The following is a 16,958-nucleotide window of genomic DNA, read 5'->3' on the forward strand; positions in this document are numbered from 1 at the left end:
TCTCTTTTGCATATTGATGTCCAATTGTTCCAGACCCATTTTCAATATAAAGACAATTCGTCTTATATGGATTGCCGAAAATTCTCTGTCAAAGATCAGTTGATTGTATTTGCATGGATCTATTCCTGAGCTCTCTATTCTGTTTGGTTAATTTCTTTGTTTATTCTTTCACCAATACCACACTGACTTGACTACTGTAGTTTTATAGTAATTCTTAAAGTCAGGTATTGTTAATCCTTTAATTCTTCTTTTCTTCAGTATTGTGCTTCTTATTTGGAGTCTTTTGCTTTCCACATAAACTTTAGAATCAATTCATCAATATCCACAAACTAGCTTGCTGGGAGTTTGGAATTGGATTGAATCTATAGATCCAGGTGGGAAAATTGACATCTTAACAACATTTGGGTTTTCCTATCCATGAACATTTCTCCATTTATTCATATCATCTTTGGTTCTTCCAACAGGGTTTTGTAAATTCCTCTCATGGATCTTCTCTATAGCTTGTTGGATTTAAACATAAATATTTCATTTTTACTGTGCCAATGTAAGTGATTGTTATGGACTGATTTATCGACTCTCAAATTCACAGGTTGAAGACCTATTTGGCTGTATTTGAATATATAGCTTTTATGTAGGTAATTAAGGTTACCTGAGGTTATAACGGTGAAGCCCTAATCCAGTAGGACCTATGTCCTTATAAAAAGAGGAAGAGGCCAGGCACCATGACTCATTCCTGTAATCCCAGCATTTTGGTAGGCTGAGGCAGGCAGATTGCTTGAGCTCAGAAGTCCGGAACCAGTCTGGACAGCATGGTGAAATCCTGTCTACTAATAAAAAGTAAATAAATAGTTTTTTAAAAAATCAAAAAGAGGAAGAGATATCAAAAGTGTGTTCACACAGAAAAAAATTTATGTGAAAACACAATAAGAAGGCGGCCATCTGCAAGCACAAGGAGACTTCCTCAGGAGAAATCAAACCTGCCAGGACCTTGATTTTAAACTTTCAGCCTCTAGAACTGTAAGAAAATAAATTTATGTTGTTTAATCCACCTAATCTATGGTATTTTGTTATGGCAGTCCAAGAAGACTAACACAGTAATATTATGTTTTTAACTTCACATTCCAATTATTCATCGTTAGTATATAGAAAAGCAATTGAATTTTATATTGTAAACTTGTACCCTGCTACTTTTACCAGTTTGCTAAATTTTTCATTGGTTCTTTGGGATTTTCTACATAGACAAAATCATATAATGTGTGAACCAAGTTTATTTATTCTTTCCCAATATTTATACCTTTATTTTATTTTCTTGTCTTATTGCTGTAGCTAGAACTTCCAGTATAATGTTGGATAAGAGTGTTAAGGGGGGCTTCTTTGCATTGTTCCTGATCTTAAGGGAAAGCATCTATTTTTTCACTTTAAATATTATGTTAGCTGAAATATGATAGAATTTTTCTAAATTTTTAAGCTAATTTTTCTTCATTAGCCTGTTATCAACAAGTTTGCATTAATTAATTGCTGGATGCTGAGACATTATTTTGAAAATAGACATTATTATATTAAATATTTATTCTGCATCTTTTGCTTTTATTTATACCATTTCCATTACATGAATGTTATGCCTTTTGTAATTGTCCCACAGTTCTTGGCTATTCTTTTCCTTTTAAATAATATATCTCTTATCTGTTTGCTTTTCAGGTTGGATAATTTTTATTAACATGTCCTCAAGCTCATTGATACTTTCCTTAGTGATAACCACCTTGTTAATATACTCATCAAAATCATCCTTAATTTTGATTAAAGGGTTTTTTATTTCTAGCACTTCTTTCTGATTCTTGCTTACAATTTCAATCTCTCACATTACATCACCTATTTGGTCATGCATCCTTTCTACTTTTTTCATTAGCATGTAACATGTTAATTGTAGTGATTTTAAATTGCCTATATGATCATTCTAAAATAAATTTTATATTTGAGTCTTGTTCTAATGTTTGCATTGTGTCTTTGGATCAAGTTTTTTCTTGTCTTTTAGCATGCCTTATATCATATTATAGTTGATGAAAGCTGGATATCATGCATCAGGTAATAGAAATTCAGGTAATTAGGCTTTGAATGTCAGGTTTTTTTGTTTATCTGGCTAGTGCTGTGTTTAATATTTACTATAGATTTAGGTTCAGTTTCCTCATTTTTCCCTCCCCTGTTGTCTTTGTTTATCCCTATGAACTCCTTAAATTACCTATTTTGGCAATAATTCACCATTATCATTCTATAGGTGTGGTGTTAAGGTGTTGAGGAGGGGAAATGTTCTATATAATTCAATACTTCAAATATCAGTTTTAGTGAGCCTGGGTCACTGGACTGTGACTCAGAAGCATTTCAAGATTTTTTCCCCTATTGCATGATGCAGAATCTATAGAGGGGTCTAGAGTTGTTTAATTATTTTTTTCCCCAAGTATGACAACACTCTGATAAAAACGTTTCTCCTGGAGGGCAAATCTTTGCTATGGAGACAGCTCCGAACTTATTTTGAAATGGCTACTTTTTCTCTGGGTGTATTTCAGAATGGTTACTTTCCCTTTCCTCCTGACTAAAACATAAATGGATTTTTTTTCCCAATTTTCACAGTGAGCTGGTAGAATTGCTGGAACCCAAGCAAATCTGAGGATTGATACATTTTGGCTCTGTGTCCCCATGCAAATCTCATCTTGAATTGTAATCCTCACATGTTGAGGGAGGGACCTGGTGGGAGGTAATCGGATCATGAAGGTGGTTTCCCCCATGCTGTTCTCATGACAGTGAGTGAGTGCTCAGGAGATCTGACGGTTTTAAAGTGTGGGGCTGGCAGGGCACAGTGGCTCACAACTGTAATCCCAACACTTTAGGAGGCCGAGATGGGCGAATCACTTGAGGTCAGAGGTTTGAGACCAGCCTGGCCAACATGGTGAAACCCCTTCTCTACTAAAAATATAGAAATTAGCCGGGTATGGTAGTGCACGCCTGTAATCCCAGCTACTTGGGAGGCTGAGGCAGGAGAATCACTTGAACCCAGGAGGTGGAGGTTGCAGTGAGCCAAGATTACACCACTGTACTCCAGCCTAGGTGACAGAGTGAGACTCCATCTCAGAAAAAAAAAAAAGAATAAAGTGTGGGACTTCTCCTTTGCTCACTCTCTCGCCTGCCACCATGTATACATGTTTTGTTTCCCCTTTGCCTTCAGCCATAATTACAAGCTTCCTGAAGCCTCTCCAGCCATGTGAAACTGTGAGTCAATTAAACCTCTTTTGTTTATAAATTACTCAGTCCCTGGTAGTATCTTTACAGCGTGTGAAAAGGACTCATACAGCAATCCTCGTAACACTGAGCACCTAGAAGTTTTTCTCTGTCAAGCTAGTCCACACTCAGCCTAGAGCAATTCTCCAAAATTACCATTAAGTGTTCCTGCAAGTTACTGGCTCCAGCTACTTTTGTATCAGGTAAACTCATCATGGTTGTAATTGTCTTTGTCTAGCTTTCCAGATTTCAGGGAGGTAGTTTGTCCTGCGACCTCAATTCTCTGGAGAATCTTATAAAAGTCAGTGATTTTTGATTTTCTCAGTTTTTATCTTGGTGTATGGATAAGAGCAAAGATTTCCCACTCTTTATATAACTCAACTCAAACCAGAAGTCTGCAAAAGAGTGCATTAATTTCAGTTCTGTTTGATTGTGAATCACGACACTATACCAAACAGCTCATGAAGAAATTCCCTATAAAGAGAATGAGAGTCTCTAAATAATTACAATATAGAAAATATTAGACCTAAGAATTACTTATGAACTGTAATATATTCTTTATTTCTGCTTTTCAGATTTGTTTTTAAATAATATTTTGTACCAATCAGTACTTTTTCAGATACAAATTTCAGAAGGGCAACTCCATTTAGCTAGAGTCAAAGGTCCCAGGAACAAGCTAATATCAGACTTGGCTGTAGCTAGGGGATCAAAATTTGTGGTCAGGAATGCATTTCTGCTATGTCATTGAGGTGGGAGGTGAGGCATGATGTTTGGTAATTATATAGGATCATGTACATGCCTACTATCAATTTATAATATTATCTCTAAGCTTGAAATCTAGTTTGTTTACCTCGATCTGAAATAATAGAGCTAGACTGTAAGCATTTCTCTTTTGTAGACAGTGTGATGTTGAACTTCGTCAGTATCATGTCATATAGTTACATGGCTGGAGGAAAGAACATCTCTTCCTGAATCCTGTGTACTTCTATTTTGATTATTTTTATTTCTTTCTCACTGCTGACAGTGTTATATTTGGGAGATATCTGTTTACATTCTGCCCAGGGATAAGCCTAGAGAAAGCAGTCCCTCAGTGATCTAATAGTTTGGCTTTGGAGCAGTGACCACTTCAATGAGGAGGGCGTCTACAGAAACACCACAAACTAGAAGTATGTGCTATTCAGCTCCAAGAGCTGATGGAAAAAAAAATCCTGTCCTCTGTTTTCATAAATTGACTAAGTTAACAAATTATTTGATAAACAAAATTGAAATGGGAATTTGTAGACTTAAACAATGTTTAATATAAGCCCAATATTTTTAGTGGGCCTTAGAAAACTGACAATTTAAGAAACAAACAAGTTTATGGGTTTTCCGAAAAACAAGTGAACTCTGAAATAGGAACTATGCCAATGGGGCTTCTTCTAAGAATTGAAGACCTACTAGTAAAAATATTTGCAGAAACAGCTTTGGAATAGCCAATAATTCATATTAGCAAAAATAAAAACGTATAATGGCATAAAACCTACCCAATGGGCTGTATCTATTTATTTATTTATTTAATGGATAATTATATGATTAAATATATACACAAAATAATTATACATATTTATATATTAAAGTGATATGTTTCAACACATATATACATTGTGTAATAATCAAATCAGGGCATTTAGCATTTTTATTATATCAAAGATTCATCGTTTCTTTGTGGTGAGAACATTCAAAATCATCTCTTCTGGTTATTTTGAAATATACTACACTATTATTAATTTTAATTACCTTTATTCACAATAGCACGTCAGCACTTATTCCTTCTATCTAACTGTGACCCTATAACCATTAGCCAACGTCTCCCTCTTCCCCCTCCGCACTCAATTCCCCAGCCTCTGGTAATCACTATTCTACTCTCTACTTCTATAAGATCGACTTTTGGGTGCAGCACACTAGCATGGCACATGTATACATATGTAACTAACCTGCACATTGTGCACATGTACCCTAAAACTTAAAGTATAATAATAATAAAATTTAAAAAAAGATCGACTTTTTTAGATTCTGCATATGAGTGATATCATGCAGCATTTGTCTTTCTGTGCCTAGCTCACTTCGGTTAATTTCTTCTAGGTTCAACTACATTGGTGCAAATGACAATAATTCATTCATTTTTTATGGCTGAATAGTATTCAATATATACATATTTTCTTCCTCCATTCATCTGTTGATGAACACTTGAGTTGATTCCATATCTTGGCTATTGTAAATAGCACTGCAATAAACATGGTAGTCCATATATCTATTTGACATATTAATTTCATTTTTGGGGGGTATGTACCCAGTAGTGGAATTGCCTGGATCATATGGTAGTTATATTTTTTATTCTTTGGAGGAATCTGCATATTGTTTTCCACTTTACTAATCTACATTTGCAACAGTGTGTAAGAGTTCGCCTGTCTACACATCCTCACCAGCATCTGTAATCTTTTGTGTTTTTGGTAATTGTTATTCTAACTGAGGTAAAGTGACACCTCACTATAGTTTTGATTTGAATCTCCCTAATGATTAGTGATGTTGACTATTTTTACATATACCGTTGTAAACGGTATATGTATACGTATACGTTGTATATATACATATACATATATGTATACGTATACATATACGTTGTATATATACATATACGTATACATATACGTATACGTATATGTTGTAAACGGTATATGTATGTTGGTCATTGATATTTCTTCCTTTGACGGATGCCTGTTTAGGTCTTTGCCCATCTTTTAATTTGATTTTTTTTTTTTTTTTTTTTTTTTGCTATTGAGTTGGTTGAGTTCTTCCTATATTATTGGATGTTAACCCCTTGTCCCAATGGTGCTGTTTTAATGAAGAATCTATCATCCAAGTACTCACTGCCTTTTCACTAAATTTCCAAGATGAACTAATTATAAGCATATATGGATGACGATTAATTTTCGTCATGGAAATATTGTCACTATTTATTTTACAAACCTTGTTACTATAGAATAACAGCCTTCCTACAGCACTAAAGTTCCTTGGGTAATATAAATTTTTAACAGTCCTGGATTTCTTCAGTTTTCTTCCTGTAACTATTTCCTTGGGACCACTATCAACAGACCACTTCTTTCTTCTCTATGAAACTGCCTCAGCAAATATTAAATTTGTAAATTGAACAGCAGAGATTTGCTTTGTAAACAAACCATCAAAATAATTTGCAGCATTTGTTTGTAAAGGATTCATAAAATTCTCCTGTCATTAACAAAATTACATGTGATTTATATATTTGTATGCTTGTTTTAAATATGATTTAAGAAGAAACTAAGAGTGAGATGCTCTTCTGGAATCTTAATGGACTAAAAAAAATCTACTGAAATAGGTAAACACCAGAAACTGAGTTTATAGAAGCTTAGGTTTGACTCTTCCAAATAATTTTCTAAGATTACTGTGTTTTCTAAATACTGAAACCGGAGATCTTGTATCTTTGGGACTGACATTTAGAGAGAAGTACTAATTATTCCTTTCACTATTTCTTGAAATACTCCTCTGTTGTCTGTAGAATAGACAAACTAGTAAAAATAATAAATATATTCAAAATTTGCAACAGTTTAAGATCTTACTTTATGTTAGAGTCTAGCTCAAACACAACACCTGCTTTGTCTTTCCAGAAGTTAATTCTCGGTGATAGTTTTGTGTGAACCTGTTAGGTTTTTTGTTTTGTTTGTGTTTTTTTGGCATGCATCCCAACAGAACAATATAACAGATAAAAAGAAAAGATATTTGTTTGCCTTTACCTGGGAAAACATAATATACTAAAAAGTAATCCCTCAGGATTTACAGTCTCTGTCTTATTTCTCTCAATTTAAGATGTTTTTTCTTAATCTTTGTTAATCCAATATGTAGATTACTGATAGTCTATTATCTGTTGTTTTGGATATCTATAAATCAAACTCTGTCTATTCATCTATCTGGAAAGAAATGATCACTCTTTCTGTCTGTTTCTGTTTCTCTGTCTCTATAGCTGTGCATCTGTATAGCTATAGAGAGAAACTAAATTGGTTGGGAAGGAGTATAAAGTTTCTGAAAGTACAAAGCTGAAGTTTGTCATCTTGGAATGATTTGTCTGTCAAAGATAGTATATTAGCTAAGGAAAGATTATTGGCTATTCAAAATTACCCAGAACTGATAACAAAATGACAACAAAGAATTTCTAGAATTATGTATTGTAAACAACAGGTTCCCAATTTTTCTGAAATAGTAAATCCTTATATGACTTTACAAATTATTTTTTCACACTTTCCTCACTTAATTCTAACATGCAATAAGGATTGAGATCCCCTAGATTAGTATAAAATCAAAAGAGGACAAGTAAATGAGATGGTGACACTGGAGTTCATGAACACAGAATTTTTCCTCTTTATTTTGTTAAAACACAAAAACTGTTATAAGATGATTATACAGCAACCATCATCTGAATATTTTTCTATTTTTTTCTGTAAGACAAGATCTTTTATGTCTGGCTCTTGGCCTTAAGTCCAGTAGGTGGTTGTCTTACATTTGAAAGAATTTTAAGTAGGACTATTACATGAAATTTACCTTAATGAACTTCAGATTTTAATAGCAAACATCATCATGATGTTGGTCAGACTTATTGCTGAGGTAATGTCTGTTGACTTTTCAGAACTGGAATTTTTTCAGGTTATTTAAGAAATAGTATGATGCCCCAAATTTTGCTGCACACTTTTCCCCTAGTTTATATTGTGTAATTTTATTGGGACTCGGAAAAGAATACTCCAAAATGAAGGCTTCAGAGGCAAAAGCTTTTCTCTCACCTTCTCCCCTGCTCCTGTTAGAATCTCTTCTTCCCCAAAGCGGGTCCTAGAAACCAGAACCCCTTCTCCCCAAAGCTAGCCATAAAACCTGAAAATTGTTACTCTAATCGCCCTCACCTTTCTGTGTAAAAACTGGTCACAGAGAAGTTACCTAACTTACCTTGTTTGACTGTAGGTCAAAAAAGCCCCCCTACCCCACCCCCAAAAGGAAGGAATGCATACTTAGAAAGACCATGAAGAGTTTAGAGAGACAGGCCTTGCTGGATTTTCCCAGTCAATTAACATTAGATCATATCCTTTTTTTCCCAATCATATTTCTACCTGACTGCTGATCATCTGTTGAACCTAAGGATAAAATGGACAGTTTCTCCTGTATCTTTGGGTTTTCATTCTTAAGGCTCCCATGTATACATTACATAAATTTGAATTCCTTTTCTCCTATTAATCTGCCTCGTCAGTCATTTTTCAGCAAACCTTCAGAAGGCGAAGGGAAAATTTTCCCATGGCCCTGGCAATTGTAAAGGTTTTTAATGTTTTAAAAGTTTTTGCTAGTGATTGTATTAGCTATATAATAATAATAACCATAAGTAGAAGACCTCCAGACATATAAAATGTAGGTGAGTAACTTAGCTACAGTTTTTCAGATGTATATTTTGTTAATATGATTTTTAATGAATGAAAAATCATAAAATTAAGATATATTTTAACCTAAAATATAAAATAAAATGTGAAAGTCACTTCTCCTTATCAAAGCCTACCACATTGTCTGGTGTTTGAAATTATTTAGGTTGTTTTCTTGTCTATGAAAGCATGTATCTAGATCTGTATCTGTATACACATACAGAAACACATGTAGATATGTAGACTTTCCAAACACAAAAATATCCTTACTTAATTAAAAGTACATTGAACTATAAATGTTTATTCATCTTTGATTTTATAATTATATTTATCCTATACTTCATAGGTCAACTTTTTAATAACTAATTTATATTTTTAAATGTATTGACCAAATATGCCCATCTTATCCTTCATAAGCATTTATGTTTTATCTATATGTAGTTTTATCTCATTCTTTATCCTTATGTATATTTTGCTTCTTGCCTTTTCTTTCATAGGTAATGCTTTTTAAGAAATAATGTGTTTTTCAATGTATTCTTCATACCTTTTTATAACCACCTTTGAGGGACTCTATCTCTGTATTTTTGCCAGTTTTTCTATATTTTATAATTTGTTAATTTTCTTTTATATTTGTCAGTTTCTGAAACTTCATTTTTCTTGTTTCTTACATTTAAAATTTACTTAATTTATCTAAATGTTCTTGTTTAATAACAAAACTTACCTTTAGTAATAAAAATACAACTTTCCCTATATACAAATTTAAGGCACTTTTATTTCAAACTTTTATTTTGTATTTTGATTTGATTTACTCATACGGTAATTATTTTAGTACAATGGTAATTATTTAGTACAATTTTTCATAGGTTCTTAAATTGAATTTTACCTTTAGTTTTATTGCAATTTGATGAGAATGTGCTCTGCAGCTTGTCTATTTGGAATTAATTACCTGTGTCTTTGTGACAGTGTATCATCTTTATATTATAAATTAAATACTAAATTCAAGACTTGTACATAGATGATCAATTTCTGAAGCTGTAAAACACTCACTCCTAGACCAAGTCAGGCAAAATATTGTTGTGAAGGCACTGTATACTAAATGTGGGACTCACAACTTGCCTTCTATGGCTGTCTACGTTGGCTAACTAGAAATTTTCTTGTAAAAATGGGAGTGAAGAGGTGATGTTTTGTAAACGTTTGATCATTTTTGTGAGTATAATACATTCCCAAATCAGGTTGAATATCTAAAGACATAACTTTGCTCTAATTGTGGTTAAAATGTTAAACGTTTTTTTCTCTTCTGCTTCTATTTTTGAAATATGTTTCATCAGAGAGGGACTCACTAATAATACTATAGCTCTCACTTTTTTCTTTTTTTTTCTTTTGAAAGATAAAAGCAGTGATAATTAAGTTTAAGTTGTTCATCACCTCCCTTTATGTGTGCAACTTCTCAAGCACCCCATTACTGGTTAACCACTTAATGCTAGAGGATGGGGATTCCTGACACCAGGTTATATTTCATTAGCATGAACAGCTGGAGCCTGAAATGGAAGGCACCATAGGGACTAATTAACTGAAAATATTTAAATAGCAAATACCTACCAGAATCTTTTTCACAGAAAGCAAAGCTGTGTTAACAACCCACGTATAAAGCTGCTGCATACCTAAGACTAATATTTATTTGAAATATAAATGTTTTAAAGTCTCTCCACTGTAATACCGCTCTGTGATGAAATTTATCCAAGTCTCATTCACTGTGTCTTATCCTGTAGAATTATGTGCTTAACCTCACTGGTATATTTGATGTGGCAGATCTTACGGATATGTGTCAGTGGAGACCTCAGAGAAGCACATGCATTTTCTCATAACTGCTGTTGTGAGACTTAAGAAAGCCATTTGAATGTATTTGACTAGAAGATAATTAAACATTTGTCAGCTGTGTTTGAACAGGAGTTCTGATCCCAGGGTCCCTGGGCTCCAGAGAATATGAGAAGCACCTGAAATTAAACAATAGATTTTATATATATATATAGATGAGCAGTTTTTTAGAGGGAGTAAAGTCTCTTGTATTGTCATATGTATCCTAAAGTATTAAGAAGCCCCAAAGTATTATGGCTACATACCTTCCCCTACTCCAAGTATTACTCACCTAGATGCTTTTTATTCTCTAAAATTATAGTAAAAAATTTACTTGGATTGTCAAATAAATAAATAAATAAATGTGTTATATTTATTTATTTATTTATATTTATGAGAAGAGTTTGGCTCATCTTATGGAAAGGAGACATAGAGCGTATCAATCACATAAAGCAGAATTTACCAATACAGGTCAATATGCCACTGGGGGAATTTTTTAGCTACCTGCGATAAAAAAAGAAAATACAGTGTTCATAATTTTAATGATTTTCTTTTAATCCAACATCATATTGTGTCCAGAATTGGTTCCTTCTGGTGGGTTCTTGGTCTCGCTGACTTCAAGAATGAAGCCGCAGAACCTCACGGTGAGTGTTACAGTTATAAAGATGGTGTGTCTGGAGTTTGTTCTTTCAGATATTTAGATGTGTCCAGAGTTTCTTCCTTCTGGCGGGTTCGTGGTCTTGCTGACTACAGGAGTGAAGCTGCAAACCTTTGCAGTGAGTGTTACAGCTCTTAAAGGTGGTGCATCTGGAGTTGTTAATCCTCCCGGTGGGTTTGTGGTCTCACTGACTTCAGGAGTGAAGCCGCAGACCTTCACAGTGAGTGTTACAGCTCTTAAAGGTGGCGAGTCTGGAGTTGTTTCTTCCTCCTGGTGGGTTCATGGTCTTGCTGGCTTCAGGAGTGAAGCTGCAGACCTTCAAGGTGAGTGTTATGGCTCATAAAGGTAGTGCAGACCCAAAGAGTGAGCAGCAGCAAGATTTATTGTGAAGAGCAAAAGGGAAAAGCTTCCACAGCATGGAAGGGGACCCAACCAGGTTGCTGCTGCTGGCCCCGGTGGTCAGCTTTTGTTCCCTTATTTGGCTCTGCCCACATACTGCTGATTGGTCCATTTTACAGAGCGCTGATTGGTCCATTTTACAGAGTGCTGATTGGTCCGTTTTTAGAGTGCTGATTGGTCCATTTTACAGAGTGCTGATTGGTCCGTTTTTAGAGTGCTGATTGGTACATTTACAAACCTTTAGCTAGACACAGAGCACTGAGTGGTGCATTTTTAGAGTGCTGATTGGTACGTTTACAAACCTTTAGCTAGACACAGAGAGCTGATTGATGCATTTTTACAGAGTGCTGATTGGTGCGTTTACAAACCTTTAGCTAGACACAGAGAGCTGATTGATGTGTTTACAATCCTTTAGCTAGACAGAAAAGTTCTCCAAGTCCCCACCCGACCCAGAAGCCCAGCTGGCTTCACCGCTCAATATTTTGCCATCTTTAAATCTTAAACTCGGATTTCTTCTATTAACCGATAGTGATGATAGGAGTGTGGGTATTTGTTTTTGAATTCTTACATAGTAAAATGCTAAAGTAGGGCTGTGCCAAGTCGTTTCTTAATGAAAAGATATAAAACCTAAAAGTTTGGGTACTACAGCTGCATTTTCTCCCTACTTTTATTCATAAACTCTGCCCCCAATCCCCTGCCAACATTGAGAGTCACTATTTAATCAGTTACCGGTTCTAGTGTTATGAAATAGTTGGTTTGTCCAGGACTGAATGGTTTTCTGGAACACAGAACTTACAGTGCTGAGTGAAGTAAGTCTGAAAACAAATGAAATCCACTGTAAACAATAAAACCTAATGATTGAAAAAAAGTCATCTGGGAGTTTGGCATAAATGTTGACATATAAGAAATACATCTTGAAAGAACAGTATTAAGAATGATTTTTTAAAAACTTCTACATCATTAAGAAGGATTTTTTAATTTATTTTATTATTATTATACTTTAAGATTTAGGGTACAGGTGCACAATGTGCAGGTTAGTTACATATGTATACATGTGCCATGCTGGTGTGCTGCACCCATTAACTTGTCATTTAGCATTAGGTATCCTAAAACTATCCCTCCCCTCTCCCCCCACCCCACAACAGGCCCCAGAGTGTGATGTTCCCCTTCCTGTGTCCATGTGTTCTCATTGTTCAATTCCCACCTATGAGTGAGAATATACGGTGTTTGGTTTTTTGTTCTTGTGATAGTTTACTGAGAATGATGATTTCCAATTTCATCCATGTCCCTACAAAGGACATGAACTCATCCTTTTTTGTGGCTGCATAGTATTCCATGGTGTATATGTGCCATATTTTCTTAATCCAGTCTATCATTGTTGGACATTTGGGTTGGTTCCAAGTCTTTGCTATTGTGAATAGTGCCACAATAAACATACATGTGCATGTGTCTTTAAGGCAGCATGATCTATAGTCCTTTGGGTATATACCCAGTAATGGGATGGCTGGGTCAAATGGTATTTCTAGTTCTAGATCCCTGAGGAATCGCCACATTGACTTCCACAATGGTTGAACTAGTTTGCAGTCCCACCAACAGTGTAAAAGTGTTCCTGTTTCTCCACATCCTCTCCAGCACCTGTTGTTTCCTGACTTTTTAATGATTGCCATTCTAACTGGTGTGAGATGGTATCTCATTGTGGTTTTGATTTACATTTCTCTGATGGCCAGTGATGGTGAGCAATTTTTCATGTGTTTTTTGGCTGCATAAATGTCTTCTTTTGAGAAGTGTCTGTTCATGTCCTTCACCCACTTTTTGATGGGGTTGTTTGTTTTTTTCTTGTAAATTTGTTTGAATTCATTGTAGATTCTGGTTATTAGCCCTTTGTCAGATGAGTAGGTTGCGAAAATTTTCTCCCATTTTGTAGGTTGCCTGTTCACTCTGATGGTAGTTTCTTTTGCTGTGCAGAAGCTCCTTAGTTTAATTAGATCCCATTTGTCAATTTTGGTTTTTGTTGCCATTGCTTTTGGTGTTTTAGACATGAAGTCCTTGCCCATGCCTATGTCCTGAATGGTATTCCCTAGGTTTTCTTCTAGGGTTTTTATGGTTTTAGGTCTAACGTTTTAAGTCTTTAATCCATCTTGAATTAATTTTTGTACAAGATGTAAGGAAGGGATCCAGTTTCAGCTTTCTACATATGGTTAGCCAGTTTTCCCAGCACCATTTATTAAATAGGGAATCCTTTCCCCATTGCTTGTTTTTCTCAGGTTTGTCAAAGATCAGATAGTTGTAGATATGTGGCATTATTTCTGAGGGCTCTGTTCTGTTCCATTGATCTATATCTCTGTTTTGGTACCAGTACCACGCTGTTTTGGTTACTGTAGCCTTGTAGTATAGTTTGAAGTCAGGTAGCGTGATGCCTCCAGCTTTGTTCTTTTGACTTAGGATTGACTTGGCGATGAGGGCTCTTTTTTGGTTCCATATGAACTTTAAAGTAGTTTTTTCCAATTCTGGCTGGTTCAATATACGCAAATCAATAAATGTAATCCAGCATATAAACAGAAGCAAAGACAAAAACCACATGATTATCTCAATAGATGCAGAAAAGGCCTTTGACAAAATTCAACAACACTTCATGCTAAAAACTCTCAATAAATTAGGTACTGATGGGATGTATCTCAAAATAATAAGAGCTATCTATGACAAACCCACAGCCAATATCATACTGAATGGGCAAAAACTGGAAGCATTCCCTTTGAAAACTGGCACAAGACAGGGATGCCCTCTCTCACCACTCCTATTCAACATAGTGTTGGAAGTTCTGGCCAGGGCAGTTAGGCAGGAGAAGGAAATAAAGGGTATTCAATTAGGAAAAGAGGAAGTCAAATTGTCCCTGTTTGCAGATGACATGATTGTATATCTAGAAAATCCTGTTGTCTCATCCCCAAATCTCCTTAAGCTGATAAGCAACTTCAGCAAAGTCTCAGGATACAAAATCAATGCGCAAAAATCACAAGCATTCTTATACACCAATAACAGACAAACAGAGAGCCAAATCATGAGTGAACTCCCATTCACAACTGCTTCAAAGAGAATAAAATACCTAGGAATCCAACTTACAAGGGATGTGAAGGACCTCTTCAAGGAGAGCTACAAACCACTGCTCAATGAAATAAAAGAGGATACAAACAAATGGAAGAACATTCCATGCTCATGGGTAGGAAGAATCAATATTGTGAAAATGGCCATACTGCCCAAGGTAATTTATAGATTCAATGCCATCCCCATCAAGCTACCAATGACTTTCTTCACAGAATTGGAAAAAACTTTAAAGTTCATATGGAACCAAAAAAGAGCCTGCATTGCCAAGTCAATCCTAAGCCAAAAGAACAAAGGTGGAGGCATCATGCTACCTGACTTCAAACTATACTACAAGGCTACAGTAACCAAAACAGCATGGTACTGGTAACAAAACAGAGATATAGACTAATGGAACAGAACAGAGCCCTCAGAAATAATGCCGCATATCTACAACTATCTGATCTTTGACAAACCTGAGAAAAACAAGCAATGGGGAAAGGATTCCCTATTTAATAAATGGTGCTGGGAAAACTGGCTAGCCATATGTAGAAAGCTGAAATTGGATCCCTTCCTTACACCTTATACAAAAATGAATTCAAGATGGATTAAAGACTTAAATCTTAGACTTAAAACCATAAAAACCCTAGAAGAAAACCTAGGCAATACCATTCAGGACAGAGGCATGGGCAAGGACTTCATGTCTAAAACACCAAAAGCAATGGCAACAAAAGCCAAAATTGACAAATGGGATCTAATTAAACTAAGGAGCTTCTGCACAGCAAAAGAAACTACCATCAGAGTGAACAGGCAACCTACAGAATGGGAGAAAATTTCTGCAATCTACTCATCTGACAAAGGGCTAATATCCAGAATCTACAATGAATTCAAACAAATTTACAAGAAAAAAACAAACAACCCCATCAACAAGTGGGCAAAGGATATGAACAGACACTTCTCAAAAGAAGACATTTATGCAGCCAAAAGACACATGAAAAAGTGCTCATCATCACTGGCCATCAGAGAAATGCAAATCAAAACCACAATGAGATACCATCTCACACCTGTTAGAATGGCGATCATTAAAAAGTCAGGAAACAACAGGTGCTGGAGAGGATGTGGAGAAATATGAAGTATTTTATTTATAAGAAAGTTTAGTCGATATGCCAGATATATAATCAAAATGTAAAAGCCAATTTTATTATTTTTTACCTACAACTAAGTTATAAAATACTTTTAAAAAAGATTCCAGTAAGGGATATTTTGATCCCCTGCCCATAATCACCTTCTGGAATAAAGTACTTATTAAATACTTACAAGTAATGGGAGTTCTGTTCCTAAATAGTCCCTGCTGTCATCTCCCTTTAGAGATTGCTTCAGTCAAATAAAGTCACCTCCACCAATAACAGTATACAAGTCTCACTACTTGGGCCCTTGTTTCTCCTTGAGGAACATTCTTTGCTCCTTTTTATACCCCTGGATATGAAGCCTGTTGGATATCCTTAGGAGCTTGGAGATTGATAGACCTAAGAGTTATTCTGGTGCTCCGCAGATATGTGTCAGATCCAATAGGGTAGCCTGGTGAGTGGGATGCTTCCACTGACAGTATTTCTTTTGTGGAATCGTGTGCTATTGAGTAACCAGGAAGGAGCTGACACACTGGTTTTGCATTACTCTCAATGTTATACACAAGATTCATTCAGGACTCTGGGCTACTATTTGCCTACAATTTTATCTTGGGTTAGAGCTATGAGTATGAGGGGTTTGGTTGGCCTCTACTCACACATGTGTCCACTGCAGCGTCACCTCTGGTTTAAAATATCTGAGGGTTAAGGGGTCCTTAACCCTCTTTGTACAGTTTAACCAGTGATATCCACAACCCGTACATTGAGCAGGCTTCACGCCATGTGTCAGGTAGTTTTCAAGCATGGTGTCATTTATTCTGTGAGCTTTCAACACTCTTGTTCCACAAAGCCAACAGAGCCTTTACTGTGATATCCTTTCTTGACTTTGATATGTATGGGGGATATTCCGGCCTCCCTAGTCAGTCTTAAGCCATGGCAGAGAAGGGATAAATATTACTTCCTGAATGAGATCACTCTTTTTGCGTGCCCACAGCTACCCACCTGCCCTCCCTGATGATATGTGGAAGACTAGGGTGTGGTCCACTGAAAAAGATTGCATTCTAAAAATGAAGTGATTTTGTCCTAAAGAATTTAAGAGATAACATGGTTGGA

The sequence above is a fragment of the Homo sapiens genome, chromosome 2, assembly GCF_000001405.40.
Source record: "Homo sapiens chromosome 2, GRCh38.p14 Primary Assembly".
NCBI classification, from domain to species: domain Eukaryota; kingdom Metazoa; phylum Chordata; class Mammalia; order Primates; family Hominidae; genus Homo; species Homo sapiens.